The 12,209-nt window shown below is 38.4% G+C and overlaps 1 protein-coding gene across 2 annotated transcripts in view, besides 3 other annotated features; it reads left to right on the top strand.

Moving 5' to 3' along the window:
• Positions 1-12,209, top strand: part of RAD54B (RAD54 homolog B) — a 103,156-nt gene that overhangs the window by 449 nt on the left and 90,498 nt on the right. For both annotated transcript variants that reach the window (NM_012415.3, NM_001205262.3), the window contains exon 2: positions 7,112-7,262. In NM_012415.3, the coding sequence (NP_036547.1) occupies positions 7,128-7,262 (135 nt within the window). In that variant the 5' untranslated portion in view covers positions 7,112-7,127. The remainder of the gene's footprint in view (positions 1-7,111; positions 7,263-12,209) is intronic.
• Positions 1,288-1,337: a silencer, noted in NCBI's record as "silent region_19367". NCBI's record gives its function as "represses an Ori minimal core promoter by ATAC-STARR-seq in GM12878 lymphoblastoid cells {active_cell/tissue: GM12878}" and the evidence as "EXISTENCE:reporter gene assay evidence [ECO:0000049][PMID:35858748]".
• Positions 5,385-6,010: an enhancer, noted in NCBI's record as "H3K27ac hESC enhancer chr8:95480885-95481510 (GRCh37/hg19 assembly coordinates)". NCBI's record gives its function as "activates a minimal SCP1, AML or CMV promoter by ChIP-STARR-seq in naive H9 embryonic stem cells {active_cell/tissue: H9 hESC(naive)}" and the evidence as "EXISTENCE:reporter gene assay evidence [ECO:0000049][PMID:30033119]".
• Positions 6,011-6,637: an enhancer, noted in NCBI's record as "H3K27ac hESC enhancer chr8:95480258-95480884 (GRCh37/hg19 assembly coordinates)". NCBI's record gives its function as "activates a minimal SCP1, AML or CMV promoter by ChIP-STARR-seq in naive H9 embryonic stem cells {active_cell/tissue: H9 hESC(naive)}" and the evidence as "EXISTENCE:reporter gene assay evidence [ECO:0000049][PMID:30033119]".

Below are 12,209 nucleotides of genomic sequence, written 5' to 3'. Positions count from 1 at the left end.
CTGCACTGGGAATTTCCTTCCCCAGGGCCAGGGGGTGAAGGCTCTGCGAGCGTCCTGGAGAGTGTCGGTACGCCTTCTTTAGGGGCTTTTACCTCTTCACTGGTCAGGTTTTTCTTGTATTTCCTTAAAACCTTTTAATCGATTACCTTATGGAAGATTTTCTAGGTAGGAACAGATGCTTCTCGACTTACTACGGGGTTGAAAATATCCCAAATGGAAAATGGATTTAAAACACAGCTAACCTACTGAGTATTAAAGCTTGGCCTAGCCTACTTTTGTTATCAAAAAAATTATTTTCAGCTGTTTATTTTAGATTTGGGGGTACATGTGCAGGTTTGTTGCATCGGTATATTACGTGGTGCTGAGGTTTGGATACGATTGATCCTGTCACCCAGGTAGTGAGCATGTTACCCAATAGTTTTTGAACCCTTGCTCCTCCTTTCCTCTCCCTTCTAGTTGTCTCCACTGTCTATTGTTGCCATCTTTATGTTCATGAATGCCCAATGTTTAGCTCCCATTTATAAGTGAGAACATGCAATATTTGATTTTCTGTTTCTGCTTTAATTCGCTTTGGATAATAGCCTCCAGCTGCACCCATGTTGCTGCAAAGGACATGATTTCATTCCTTTTTATGGCTGCGCTAGCCTACCTTAAACATGCTCAGAACACTTACCTTAATCTACAGTTGGGCAAAATCATGAACACAGACGGTTGTGTGGTTACTTGTACAGTTTCTACTGAATGCTCATGGCTTTCTTAAAAGTCGAAGAATTCTAAGTGACACCGTCCTAAATTAGGAACCATCTATATAGCCGGAGTCTCAAAGGAGCAATTTAAGGCATGAAGTGAAATAATTACTACCTAATGTAGTTGGAAGTCGACAAGCAGCAACAGCAGGGAGAGACCGTTGCTGGTTCTTGGTAGAGTTGGTGTACTTACATTCTTGCATCCTCGACGTTTGATGGTTGCACATACCTCTCTTTAAAGCCCAGACGAACCCAAAGATTCTGGTCATTGTCCTGTATGTTGAACTACCCCTTCTCTATCTCCTTCACAGGACCTTCATCATTTCTACTCTCCGATAATACTAATTATAACAGATAACATTGAGTGCTTACTATGTGTCAAGTTTTGTTCTAAGTGCTTTACATATTTCATTTAATCCTCCCAACAGTCCGGTGTGTAAGCATGATTATGGTACCCCCTCTTAAAGATGAGGAAACTGAGACACATGGAGCCAAAGTAAACTGTGCAAGACCATTAGAAAGTGTCAGTCCACATTTATATTCAGGCATTTGCTTTCAAAGTTGTGTTCTTATTTACCACAGTGTAGTGCCAAGTACTTGTGGCTATCTGGTGTATTACAGTTGTCAGCTTGGCCTTACCATTTTACTTGGAAGGACTGAAACTAATAGGTGTTATAGAAGTTGTAGCATCACATCAGGGCTACCAAATGGCTTTATTTCTAGGACCTGGGGAAAGGGCTCAGACAGCACTAATTAATTAATTAATTTATTATGGACAGGACAATATGAACATACAGAACCAGTTTAAAAAGCTATAAGGGTGCAATGGTCTTTTGGGGGGAAATGTACTGATTTCTGCATTTTACTTTGTATCAACAAATTAAATGGCTTGATGGATGCCCAAGGTCATATGTAAGTAGCAGAGTTGGGATTCTAGCCAGGCAGCCTGGCTGGCTCCAGAGTCAGTCTGTTTTCTTAACCACTGCTCTGTGCTGATGGTTGTATGCTTGCATTATCATTTTTATTAGTTTACAAAATAGGAGGATTGAAAAATCAGAAATCATGTATTAGATGTAGAAGGATTTAGGGTAGTAATTCTTCGCATTTAGTGTTGAAAGAAATTTTAGCATCTAGTTCATTCTTTATTTTATAAATGAGAAAATTGGTGTCTAGAGAGTTAAATAGCTTCCCCAAAGTTAAGCATCCCTGAAATAGCAGAATCTGAACTACACTCTGGTTTCCTTCATTTCTACTGTTGATGTTTCTAACTACTGTATTTTTTAAGTGTTCCTTTTTAAAAAGTGTCAGAATTTTCACAGTATTAGAGGGGAGTCTGACTAATGTAGAGAACAGAACTGATTACATTTCATGATGTGGACATCATATTTTTATTAATGCTATCTAGAATTTATTAGTTTAAGAAGGCTCATTATCTTATTTCAGTTGAGCTATAGTCACTAAAATCTTTAGTTTTAAATTTCAGCTTCTATTGTTCTATTTCATTTGACCATTAAGTAACTGAGTCTAAGTGCAAGGCCTAACATCCATGTCGTCCTGTGACAGTTACCGTTAATCAATTTCAAACTTGTGTCAGTTATATATTTAGAGGCCTGTAGTATTCTGCTTACCCATTATAAAAAGGAAATTAGTTTAATGAAGTTATTTTGGCATGACTTGTTTGGTCAGAATTTGTACTGACTTCTGGTATTGGTAAATACTGCTTCTAAAGCAGTCAAAAACCATCTGTTTCATAATTTGCTTTAAGATTAAAGATTATACTAATAGAGATCTATTTTGTCCTTGAATAAGAAACAGAAGAGAGTGATCTCTCCTACTCATTCCTCAAACTATATAAAGGCTGGTTATATATAAAATATTTACATGTTTCATTATTTTAACATTGATGAAATTGGGAAATGTCTAACCATCAATGATAGTGTATCATGGTTTAATTGGCTACACTTTTTTTCTTGGATACATAAAATAATGGTACATCTTACAATTTAAAAAATTTTTATTTTTAAAATTTTTATTTACTTTTAAAAATTTCTTTTATATGGACTAACAATCAAGAGTATATCTTACAATTGATGGCATTTTAGATTTGATGAAATATGGTAATTTAAAAAAATCTAATTAATGATACTTTTCCCTATTACAAAGGTAACATTTTCATTGTAAAAAATTTGAAATATACAGAAAATAACTCAGAATAGAATAAAAATTACTGGTATTCTAACCAGACCTAGAAATAATTAGGGTTAATGTTGTGGCATGTATTTTTCTAGTTTTTAAAAAACGATTGTGTATTTTAATATATAACATGTATATTATATCTACTTTATAGCAGTATAATTTACAGTGTGCAGTTAGATGTGTACATTTTGATGTTTTCATATACAGATGTATATATACTCCTGTAACCATACTACAATCTTATATAGATTATTTCTATCACCTCCAACAAGTTCTCTCATGCTCCTTTGCTTTCTAGTCTTTTAAATGTACATACACCCATTATTGTTTTTATTTTTCTTTTCTTTTGTAAAAATTAGAATGAGGCTGGACATGTTTTGTGGCCATTTTTCCTTTGATTTATTAAAACATATTTCTCTTGTCATTAAACATTTTTTTAAAGTACTGCCCCCCCCCGCCACCCATTAATGGTATCATTCACATAACAAATACTGAACCTCTTCTGTGTATTTGGTACTGGCGATATACTGATGAATTGTACGTAAGATTTCATGCCTGAGTTAATAGCTCAGAGGGAATGATAGGGCAAATTTCATTGCAGTGTGAAAAGTGCTTGGGTAGTGCATATACAGGAAGGTCTCCAGTCCAGTCTTTGGGAGGAGATGAAGAGGGCTCATGGTTAAGACTCCTAGATGATAAGGTAGAATTAATTAGGCAAAGAAAAGTGGGAAAAAGCATTCCCAACATTATATAAGGGAAAGTTTGTTCAAAGCCTAGAGAAAAAGAGAACATGGCTAGCTTGGGGAATAGTACTGACTCGATTTTGGTGGTATATGAAGAGAGTGTTCTGTTGTGTGGGTGTACCATAATTTATCTTGTACTTCATTATAGACATTTGTTTCCCTTTTTCCCCCTACTGTAATTGATACTAGCATCATTATTCTTTTTTTTTTTCTTTGTTTTCTTTGAGACAGAGTGTTGCTCTGTCACCCAGGCTGGAGTGCAGTGGTGCGATCTCAGCTTACTGCAACCTCTGCCTCCTGGGTTCAAGCGATTCTCATGCCTCAGCCTCCTGAGTAGCTGGGATTACAGGCGTGTACCACCACACTTGGCTAATTTTTTTTTTTTTTAGACGAAGTTTCGCTCTTGTTTCCCAGGCTGGAGTGCAGTGGCGCTATCTCGGCTCACCACAACCTCTGCCTCCCGGGTTCAAGTGATTCTCCTGCCTCAGCCTCCTGAATAGCTGGGATTACAGGCATGCGCCACCACGCCTGGCTAATTTTGTATTTTTAATAGACACAGGGTTTCTCCATGTTGATGAGGCTGGTCTTGAACTGACCTCAGGTGATCCACTCACCTTGGCCTCCCAAAGTGCTGGGATTACAGGTGTGAGCCACTGCACCTGGCCTCAAATTCTTATATTTTTAGTAGAGACGGGGTTTCACCATGTTAGCCTGGCTGGTCTCAAACTCCCGACCTCAGGTGATCCACCTGCCTCGGCCTCCTGAAGTGCTGGGATTACATGCGTGCGAGCCACTGTGTCCTGCCCAGCTGATTATTCTTATACGTAGTTACTTAGTATTATCTCTGATAGTTCCTTAGGTTAAATTGCCAGAATTGGAATTTCTGGGTGAAACAGATAATGTTGGTAGTCATGTTCATCCTTGCTGATGGCTTATGTTAAATAGTGTTTTGTGGTGTTGCTTTGAATTGGAATGCTTGCTACTATCCATTGCAGAAACATGATGTATGTATGTAATGTCCTTGTTTTCCATCTGTTCCCCTATCCAGTCCTAGTGGAAATAAGATTGAGTGAAAGTTGGGAAACCTGGTTCTAGTCTCTTGATTTATATTTTAAAAAATTCCACTGTTTTCAAATGAAGTAGGATAGTAAAAACAAGTAGAATTATAAAAATACCTTTTAAATTGCCAGATTTCATTCATTCAAAATATTTGTTAGTGATGGTAATGTATCTGTCACTGTTGCCAGACACATTATAGTCATTAGTGGTGGAGAAAACAAGCATGAGATTGCTGCCTTCATGTGGTTTATGGATTAGTGGAATAGGAAAAAGGCAACATGTTTGATATTTGTATGTGAATTGTATTTCCTTGCATTTTGAAATTTTTATTTAAATTGCTTTAAAGAAGATATCATGCTTATAGTATTATCAAAATTGACATATACTTAAATTTACACCATTTGTATTAGTCTGTTCTCACACTGCTAATAAAGAGATACTCAAGACTGGGTAATTTATTAGGAAAGAGGTTTATTGGACTCACAGTTCCACATGGCTGGGGAGGCCTCACATTTATGCCGGAAGGCAAAGGAGAAGCAAGCCACGTCTTACATGGGAGCAGGCAAGAGAGTTTGTGCAGGGGAACTCCCATGTATAAAACCATCGGATCTCGTGAGACTTAGTCACTACCACGAGAATAGGCCCTGCCCTTGACATGGGGATTATTACAATTCAAGGTGAGATTGGGTGGGGTCACAGCCAAACTGTATCACCGTTCAGTTTAAATCTTAAATTCTTTTCAATAGCCCTTGATGAAAAATAAAATCTTACTAGCTATTGAACTTATTTTCTTTTTCTTTTTTTTTATTAAAAAAAAAAAAACAAGAGATGGGCTCTCTTGGGCTCAAGTGATCCTCCCACTTTGGCCTCCCAAAGTGCTGGGATTACAGATGTGGGCCACTTTGCCCAGCCTGAACCTGTTTTCTCAGGCTTATTCTCATATGTTTTGTTTTTGTTTTTTCAGTTGAAGTCTTGCTGCTATGTTGCCCAGACTGGTTTTGAACTCCTGACCTCAAGGGATCCCCCTCACCTCAGCCTCCTGAGTAGCTGAGACTACAGGCATGCACCACCAAGCTCCTCTTATCTTTTTTTTTTTGAGACAGAGTCTCGCTGTCGCCCAAGCTGGAGTGCAGTGGCGTGATCTGAGCTCACTGCAAGCTCCGCCTCCCGGGTTCACGCCATTCTCCTGCCTCAGCTTCCAGAGTAGCTGGGACCACAGGCGCCCGCCACCACTCCTGGCTAATTTTTGGTATTTTTTTTTAGTAGAGATGTGGTTTCACTGGGTTAGCCAGGATGGTCTCGATCTCCTGACCTCGTGATCCGCCCGCCTCGGCCTCCTGAAGTGCTGGGATTACAGGCATGAGCCACCGTGCTCGGCCTTTTTTTTTTTCTTAATTTTAATTTTTAATAGAGACGAAGCTCCTAGGTTCAAGGGATCCTCCGGCCTCATCCTTTCAAAGTACAGGGATTACAGGCATGAACCACCACGCCGGCCCCTTTTACCTTTTTACATATGTCATGGTTGTATTACCAAACCAAACTTGAGACGGCCTGCCTGGCACAGCAAAGCTCTCCACAGACATTGGGATTTGCAGCAAGAGAAAGTGAGGCGTTTATTGCAGGGTGCCAAGCGAGGAAAAATGGGTAGCTAATGGTTAAGACCCAAACTCTGTGATGGCTTTCATGTAACTATTTTTAAAGATGGGGAGGCAGAGGTTACAGGCAAAGTCATAAATCAATGCATCATTGATTTGGCCTAAAAAGGTGAGACATCTTGAAGTGGGGGCTTGCGAGTCATAGATGTATTAAAAGATTCTCTGATTTGGGATTGGTTAAGGAAGTGAAGCTCTGTCTAAAAACTTGGGGTCAGCAGAAAGGAATGTTGAGCTCTGGCTTGTGGGTATGACTTCCTCCAGGCCTCTGAAGAAGAAATTCAGAACAAAGAATAATAGCAGTTAGAGTTCAGTCCTGTTTCCCCTAATCTGAGGTCTGTGTGCCAGTAGACAGTATTTTCCATTTGGTGGTGGTCTGGATTTCTGAAAAACAACTCAAGGACATATGTTAAGATGTTACCTTTAGTTTCTAGAGGGAACCAAACATTTTGTCAATCTAACTTCCCTCACCATTATTTTAAGCTATTACCTTCTTGCTAATCATATTGCTCATGTACTTTTCAGGGCTAGCTAAGTGCCTGGAATTTCCTTTGAAGGAACTGAAGATTTTCCTTTTGTTTCTATGCTTGGGGGGCCAGGCAGGCCCATAAGAGGGGTTTCTGTTCCATCTTAGTTGTAGTTTTGAGCTATTTTTATATTTGGGGGTGATTGTAATTAGATTCGTGGATAGTTAACTGTTTTGGGTATTTTTCAGGTCACGACTGCTGAATATGAGACGATCTGCAGCACCAAGTCAGTTGCAGGGGAATTCCTTCAAAAAACCAAAATTTATACCTCCAGGAAGAAGTAATCCAGGTCTGAATGAAGAGATTACAAAACTGAATCCAGATATAAAATTATTTGAGGTAAGGCAAAAAAAGACTCATGATATAGATAATATAGAGAAGCATGTATGTTTAAGAAAATGCCATTTAAAGAGTTAACAGTATTTTCTGCCTGTAGGAATTTTCAGTATCTCTGAAAACATCTTCTAAAAACCTTGGAAATGAAGATTACATAATTTTTTTTTAAAAGGAATAACAGGCTGGGCACAGTGGCTCATGCCTATAATCCCAGCACCTTGGGAGGCAGAGGCGGGAGGATCACTTGAGCTAAGGACGTCAAGACCTGCCTGGGTAACATAGTGAGACCCTGTCTCTACAAAAAATAAAAATTTAGTGGGGTGTGGTGGTGTGCACCTGGAGTATCAGCTACTCGGGAGGCTGAGGTGGGAGGATGACTTGAGCCTGGGAGGTCAAAGCTGCAGTGAGCTGTGATTGTGCCACTGCACTCCATCCAGCCTGGGCAACACAGCAAGACCCTGTCTCATTCAATCAATCAATGGAATAACATGTACTTGAGTCTATAAAATAAACTTTTGGTAATGATAAGTAAGTACCTCTTTGAGGGAAGGGGTGGAGATTCTAATCAGTGTTCTTTTTAAAGTTACCACATAAATAAGTGAAAACTTCTTTAAGGTCATTTAAAGAGGAAAAAATACATAATGATTTGTATCACTATTCCAAACATTTTTTCTCACTTTTATCTGTAAAAAGTGAATACTGGCTGGGTGCAGTGGCTCACGCCTGTAATCCCAGCACGTTGGGAGGCCGAGACGGGCAGATCACCTGGGGTCAGGAGTTGAGACCAGCCTGGTTAACATGGTGAAACTCCGTCTCTACTAAAAATACAAAAACTAGCCGGGCATGGTGGCACGCGCCTATAATCCCAGCTACTCCGGAGACTGAGGCAGGAGAATTGCTGGAACCTGGGAGGTGGAGGTTATAGTGAGCTGAGATCATGCCACTGCACTCCAGCCTGGGTGACAGAGCAAGACTCCGTCCCCCCCAAAAAAAAAAAAAGTGAATACTGGAAGCAGTCTTAATGTGTCTCATTTACTGTTAAGAAAAAGGATTGTTTTGGTCTTAGGTCTAAGATCAAAGGCGTTAGTATATATGAAAGGCATATAAAGTATAAAGAAGGCATATAAAATGGAGAATTCACACTACCTACTACTCTGCAATTCCCTGATCCTTTTATGTTATAGGGATTAAAGTCTATTAATTTTTTCCCTCTTCTTTTTTATTGTGGTTAAGCGTATGTAACATAAAATTTGCCACATTACCATTTTTAAGTGTACAATTAAGTGGCATTAATGACTTTCACACTGTTGTGCAACCATCACCACAATCTGTTTCCAAAACTTTTTCATTACCCCAAACAGAAACTCTGTACCCATTAAACATTAACTCCCCATTCTCTCCACTCAGCTCCTGATAACCACGATTCTACTTTTTGTCTCTATAAATCTGACTGCCCTAGGTACCTCATGGAAGTGGAATCATACAATATTTGTCCTTTTGTGTCTGGCTTATTTCCCTTAGCATAATGTTTTCAAGGTTCATCCATGTTGTAGTGTGTATCAGAACTTAATTTTTTTGTATGGTTGAATAATCATTATATGGTTTTACCACATTATGTTTATCCATCCATTCATCTATTTGATGCATGCTTGGGCAGTTTCCACCTTTTTGCTATGGCGAATAATGCTGCTGTGAACATTGGCATCCAAGTTTCTGTTTGTGTTCCTGTTTTAATTCTTTTGGATTATAACTAGAAATGGATTTGCTGGGTATTATGGTAATTCTGTGTTTAGCTTTCTGAGGAACCGTCAAACTGTTTTTCATAGCTGTACCATTTTACATCTTCATCAGGAATGTGTGATGGTTGTAGTATCTACATCCTCAGGAACACTTGTTATTTTCCATTTAAAAAATTTTTTTATTATTGGCATCTCAGTAGTTGTGAAGTGGTATTTCACTGTGGTTCTGATTTGTATTTCCTTAATGACTAGCAATGCTGAGCATCTTTTCATGTGCTTATTGGCCATTTGTATATCTTTGGAAAAATGTCTATTTAAGGTCTTTGCCTGGTTTTTAATGGTGTCTTTTTTTGCTGAAAAAACCTTCTAATTTTTGACTGCTTTTTTTGGTCTGTATGTGTTTGTTTTATCCTATATTTCTTTCCCAAGTAGATTGTTTAGCACTTACCAATGTAAAAATTCTGGCACACTGTAAGGAGAAAACATAGGCTTTTGTTTTCTTAATAAGGTTTCTTTCTTTCTTTCCTTTTTAAAATACAGCTTTATTTAGGTTTGATAGAGTTTGGATATTTGTCCCTTCAGAATCTCATGTTGAAGTGTGACCTCCAGTGTTTGAGGTTGGCCTAATGGGAGATATTTGGGTCATGAGGGGCGGATCCTTCATGAATGGCTTGGTGCTGTTTTCATGGTAATGAGTGAGTTTTCGCTCTGAGTCCACATGATATCTGGTTGTTTAAAAAGAGTGCGGCATCTCCCCCCTCCCTCTTTTGCTCTCCCTCTTGTGATTGAGATGCAGTTTCCCCCTTTACCTTCTGCCCTAATTATAAGCTTCTGGAGGCTCTCATCAGAAACAGAAGCTGGCACCATGCTTCCTATACAGGCTGCAGAACTGTGAGCCAAAATAAACCTCTTTTCTTTATAAATTACCTGTCTCAGGTATTCCTTTATAGCAATGCAAACTAATACAGATATAATTTAAATACCATACAGTCTACTTACTACAACTCAGTGGTTTTTATTATATTCACAGAATTGTGCAGCCATCTCCACAATCAATTTTAGAACATTTTCATGACACCAAAAAGAAACTTTTTATCAGGAATTTATTTCTTATTGCTGAAATATCAGTTTTCTCTTGCTGCTGAAACAAATTACCACAAATCTAATGGCTTAAAACAACACAAATGAATTATCTTATAGTTCTGTAGGTCAAAAGTTCAACACAGATCTAAGATCAAGGTGTTGGTAAGGCTATATTCATTTCTGGAGATTTTAGGGGAAATCTGTTCCCTGGCTTTCTCCAGCTTCTACAGGTCACCACATTCCTTGGCTCATGGTCCCCTTCTTCCGTCTTCATAGCCAGGGAAGCACGTTTGAGTTCTCATGTTTCCTTCTCTTTGGTTTTCTGCAGCTAGAACTCATTTGATTAGGTTAGGCCCACCTGGGTAATCCAGGATCATCTCTCCGTTTCAAGGTCCTGGTCCTTAATCACATCTGCAAAGTCCTTTTTACCACATAACAATACATTCACAGATTCTGGGGATTAGGGTGTGGAAATCTTTGGGAGCCGTTATTCTGCCTACCACACTGAATAATCTGTTGTTTTAATATACCACAATTTATATATCTATTCATTAGTTAATGGTCATTTGGGTTGTTTCCACTTTTTAGCAATTATGAGTAATACTCATGAACGTTTGTGTACAAATTTTTGTGTGGATATGTGTTTTCGTTTCTCTCTTTTTTCTTTCTTTCTTTTTTTTTTTTTTTTTTTTGAGATAGGGTCTTGATGATGGCACCATCATGGCTCACTGCAGCCTCCACCTACTAGGCTCAAGTGATCCTCCCACCTCCATCTCCTAAGTAGCTGGGACCACAGGCATGTGCCATCATTTTTAAATTTTTTTAGAGATTTTTAAATTTTAAATTTTATAGGCTAATTTTTAAATTTTTTATAGAGATGGGGTCTGCCTATGTTGCCCAGGCTGGTCTCTAAGTCCTGAGCTCAAGCAGTCCTCTCCTCAGCCTCCCAAAGTGTTGGAATTACAGATGTGAGCCACCATACTTGGCCATGTTTTCATTTCTCTTGAGTGTATTCCTAGGAGTAGAATTGCTGGATCATATGATAATTCTATGTTTAACCTCTTAATGAACTGACAGACTCTTTTCCAAGCTGACTGCTCCATTTTCATTCTTACCATCAATGTATGAAGGTTTTAATTTTTCCATATCCCTACCAACACTTATTATCTTTTTGATTGTGGCCATACTAGTGGGTAAAGTAGTACCTCATTGTGGTTTTGCTTTGCATTTCTCTGATAGCTGATATGGAGCACTTTTATGTGTGCTTATTACCCATTTGTGTATCTCTTTGGAGAACTGTCTTTTTTTTTTTTTTTTAAGGTGAAGTCTCGCTCTGTTGCCCAGGCTAGAGTGAGCCACTGTGTCCAACCAATATTTATTATTTATTTATTTATTTATTTATTTGTTTTTGAGATGGAGTCTTGCTCTGTCACCCATGCTGGAGTACAGTGGCACAATCCTGGCTCACTGCAACCTCTGCCTCCTGGGTTCAAGCAATTCTCCTGTCTTATCCTCTGGAGTAGCTGGGACTAAAGGTGCCTGCCGCCACGCCTAGCTAATTTTTGTATTTTCAGTAGAGTTGGGGTTTTACCATGTTGGCCAGGCTGGTCATGAATTCCTGATCTCAGGTTATCCGCCTGCCTTGGTGTCCCAAAATGTTGGGATTACAGGTGTGAGCCACCATGCCTGGCCAAGATTTGTTTTTTGATGTAATGTCTAAGGACTAATTCTAGGCAAAAACACAGATTTACTATTTTTTTCTTTTAATTCTATAAATAAATTAAATAGTTATTTTACTTTTTAAAACTGAAGTGGGGCATTTTTGAAATTATACAGCAATTTTAAGCAAGGTAACATGAGAAGCCTAAAAGTATTAGGCTTAGCAGTCAACTCTGCCGTCTTTTTACTTTGTCTGTTACATTCTTAACTTCTTGTTTTTAAACTATTTCTTATCTTAGATTGAATTAACCTATAGTGAGAAAGTATTGCTTTAGTGACTTCAGTGGTGTTTACTTGATTGGTCTGATAAATACAAAATCTGGGACAAATTGAACATCAAAAGAAATATACTAATGGATTATAGCCCATTGAATAATACAGGAGTCAGAATCTATACTAATATATGTAA

The sequence above is a fragment of the Homo sapiens genome, chromosome 8, assembly GCF_000001405.40.
Source record: "Homo sapiens chromosome 8, GRCh38.p14 Primary Assembly".
NCBI lineage: Eukaryota > Metazoa > Chordata > Mammalia > Primates > Hominidae > Homo > Homo sapiens.
This window is presented reverse-complemented; position numbering and strand designations above follow the sequence as displayed.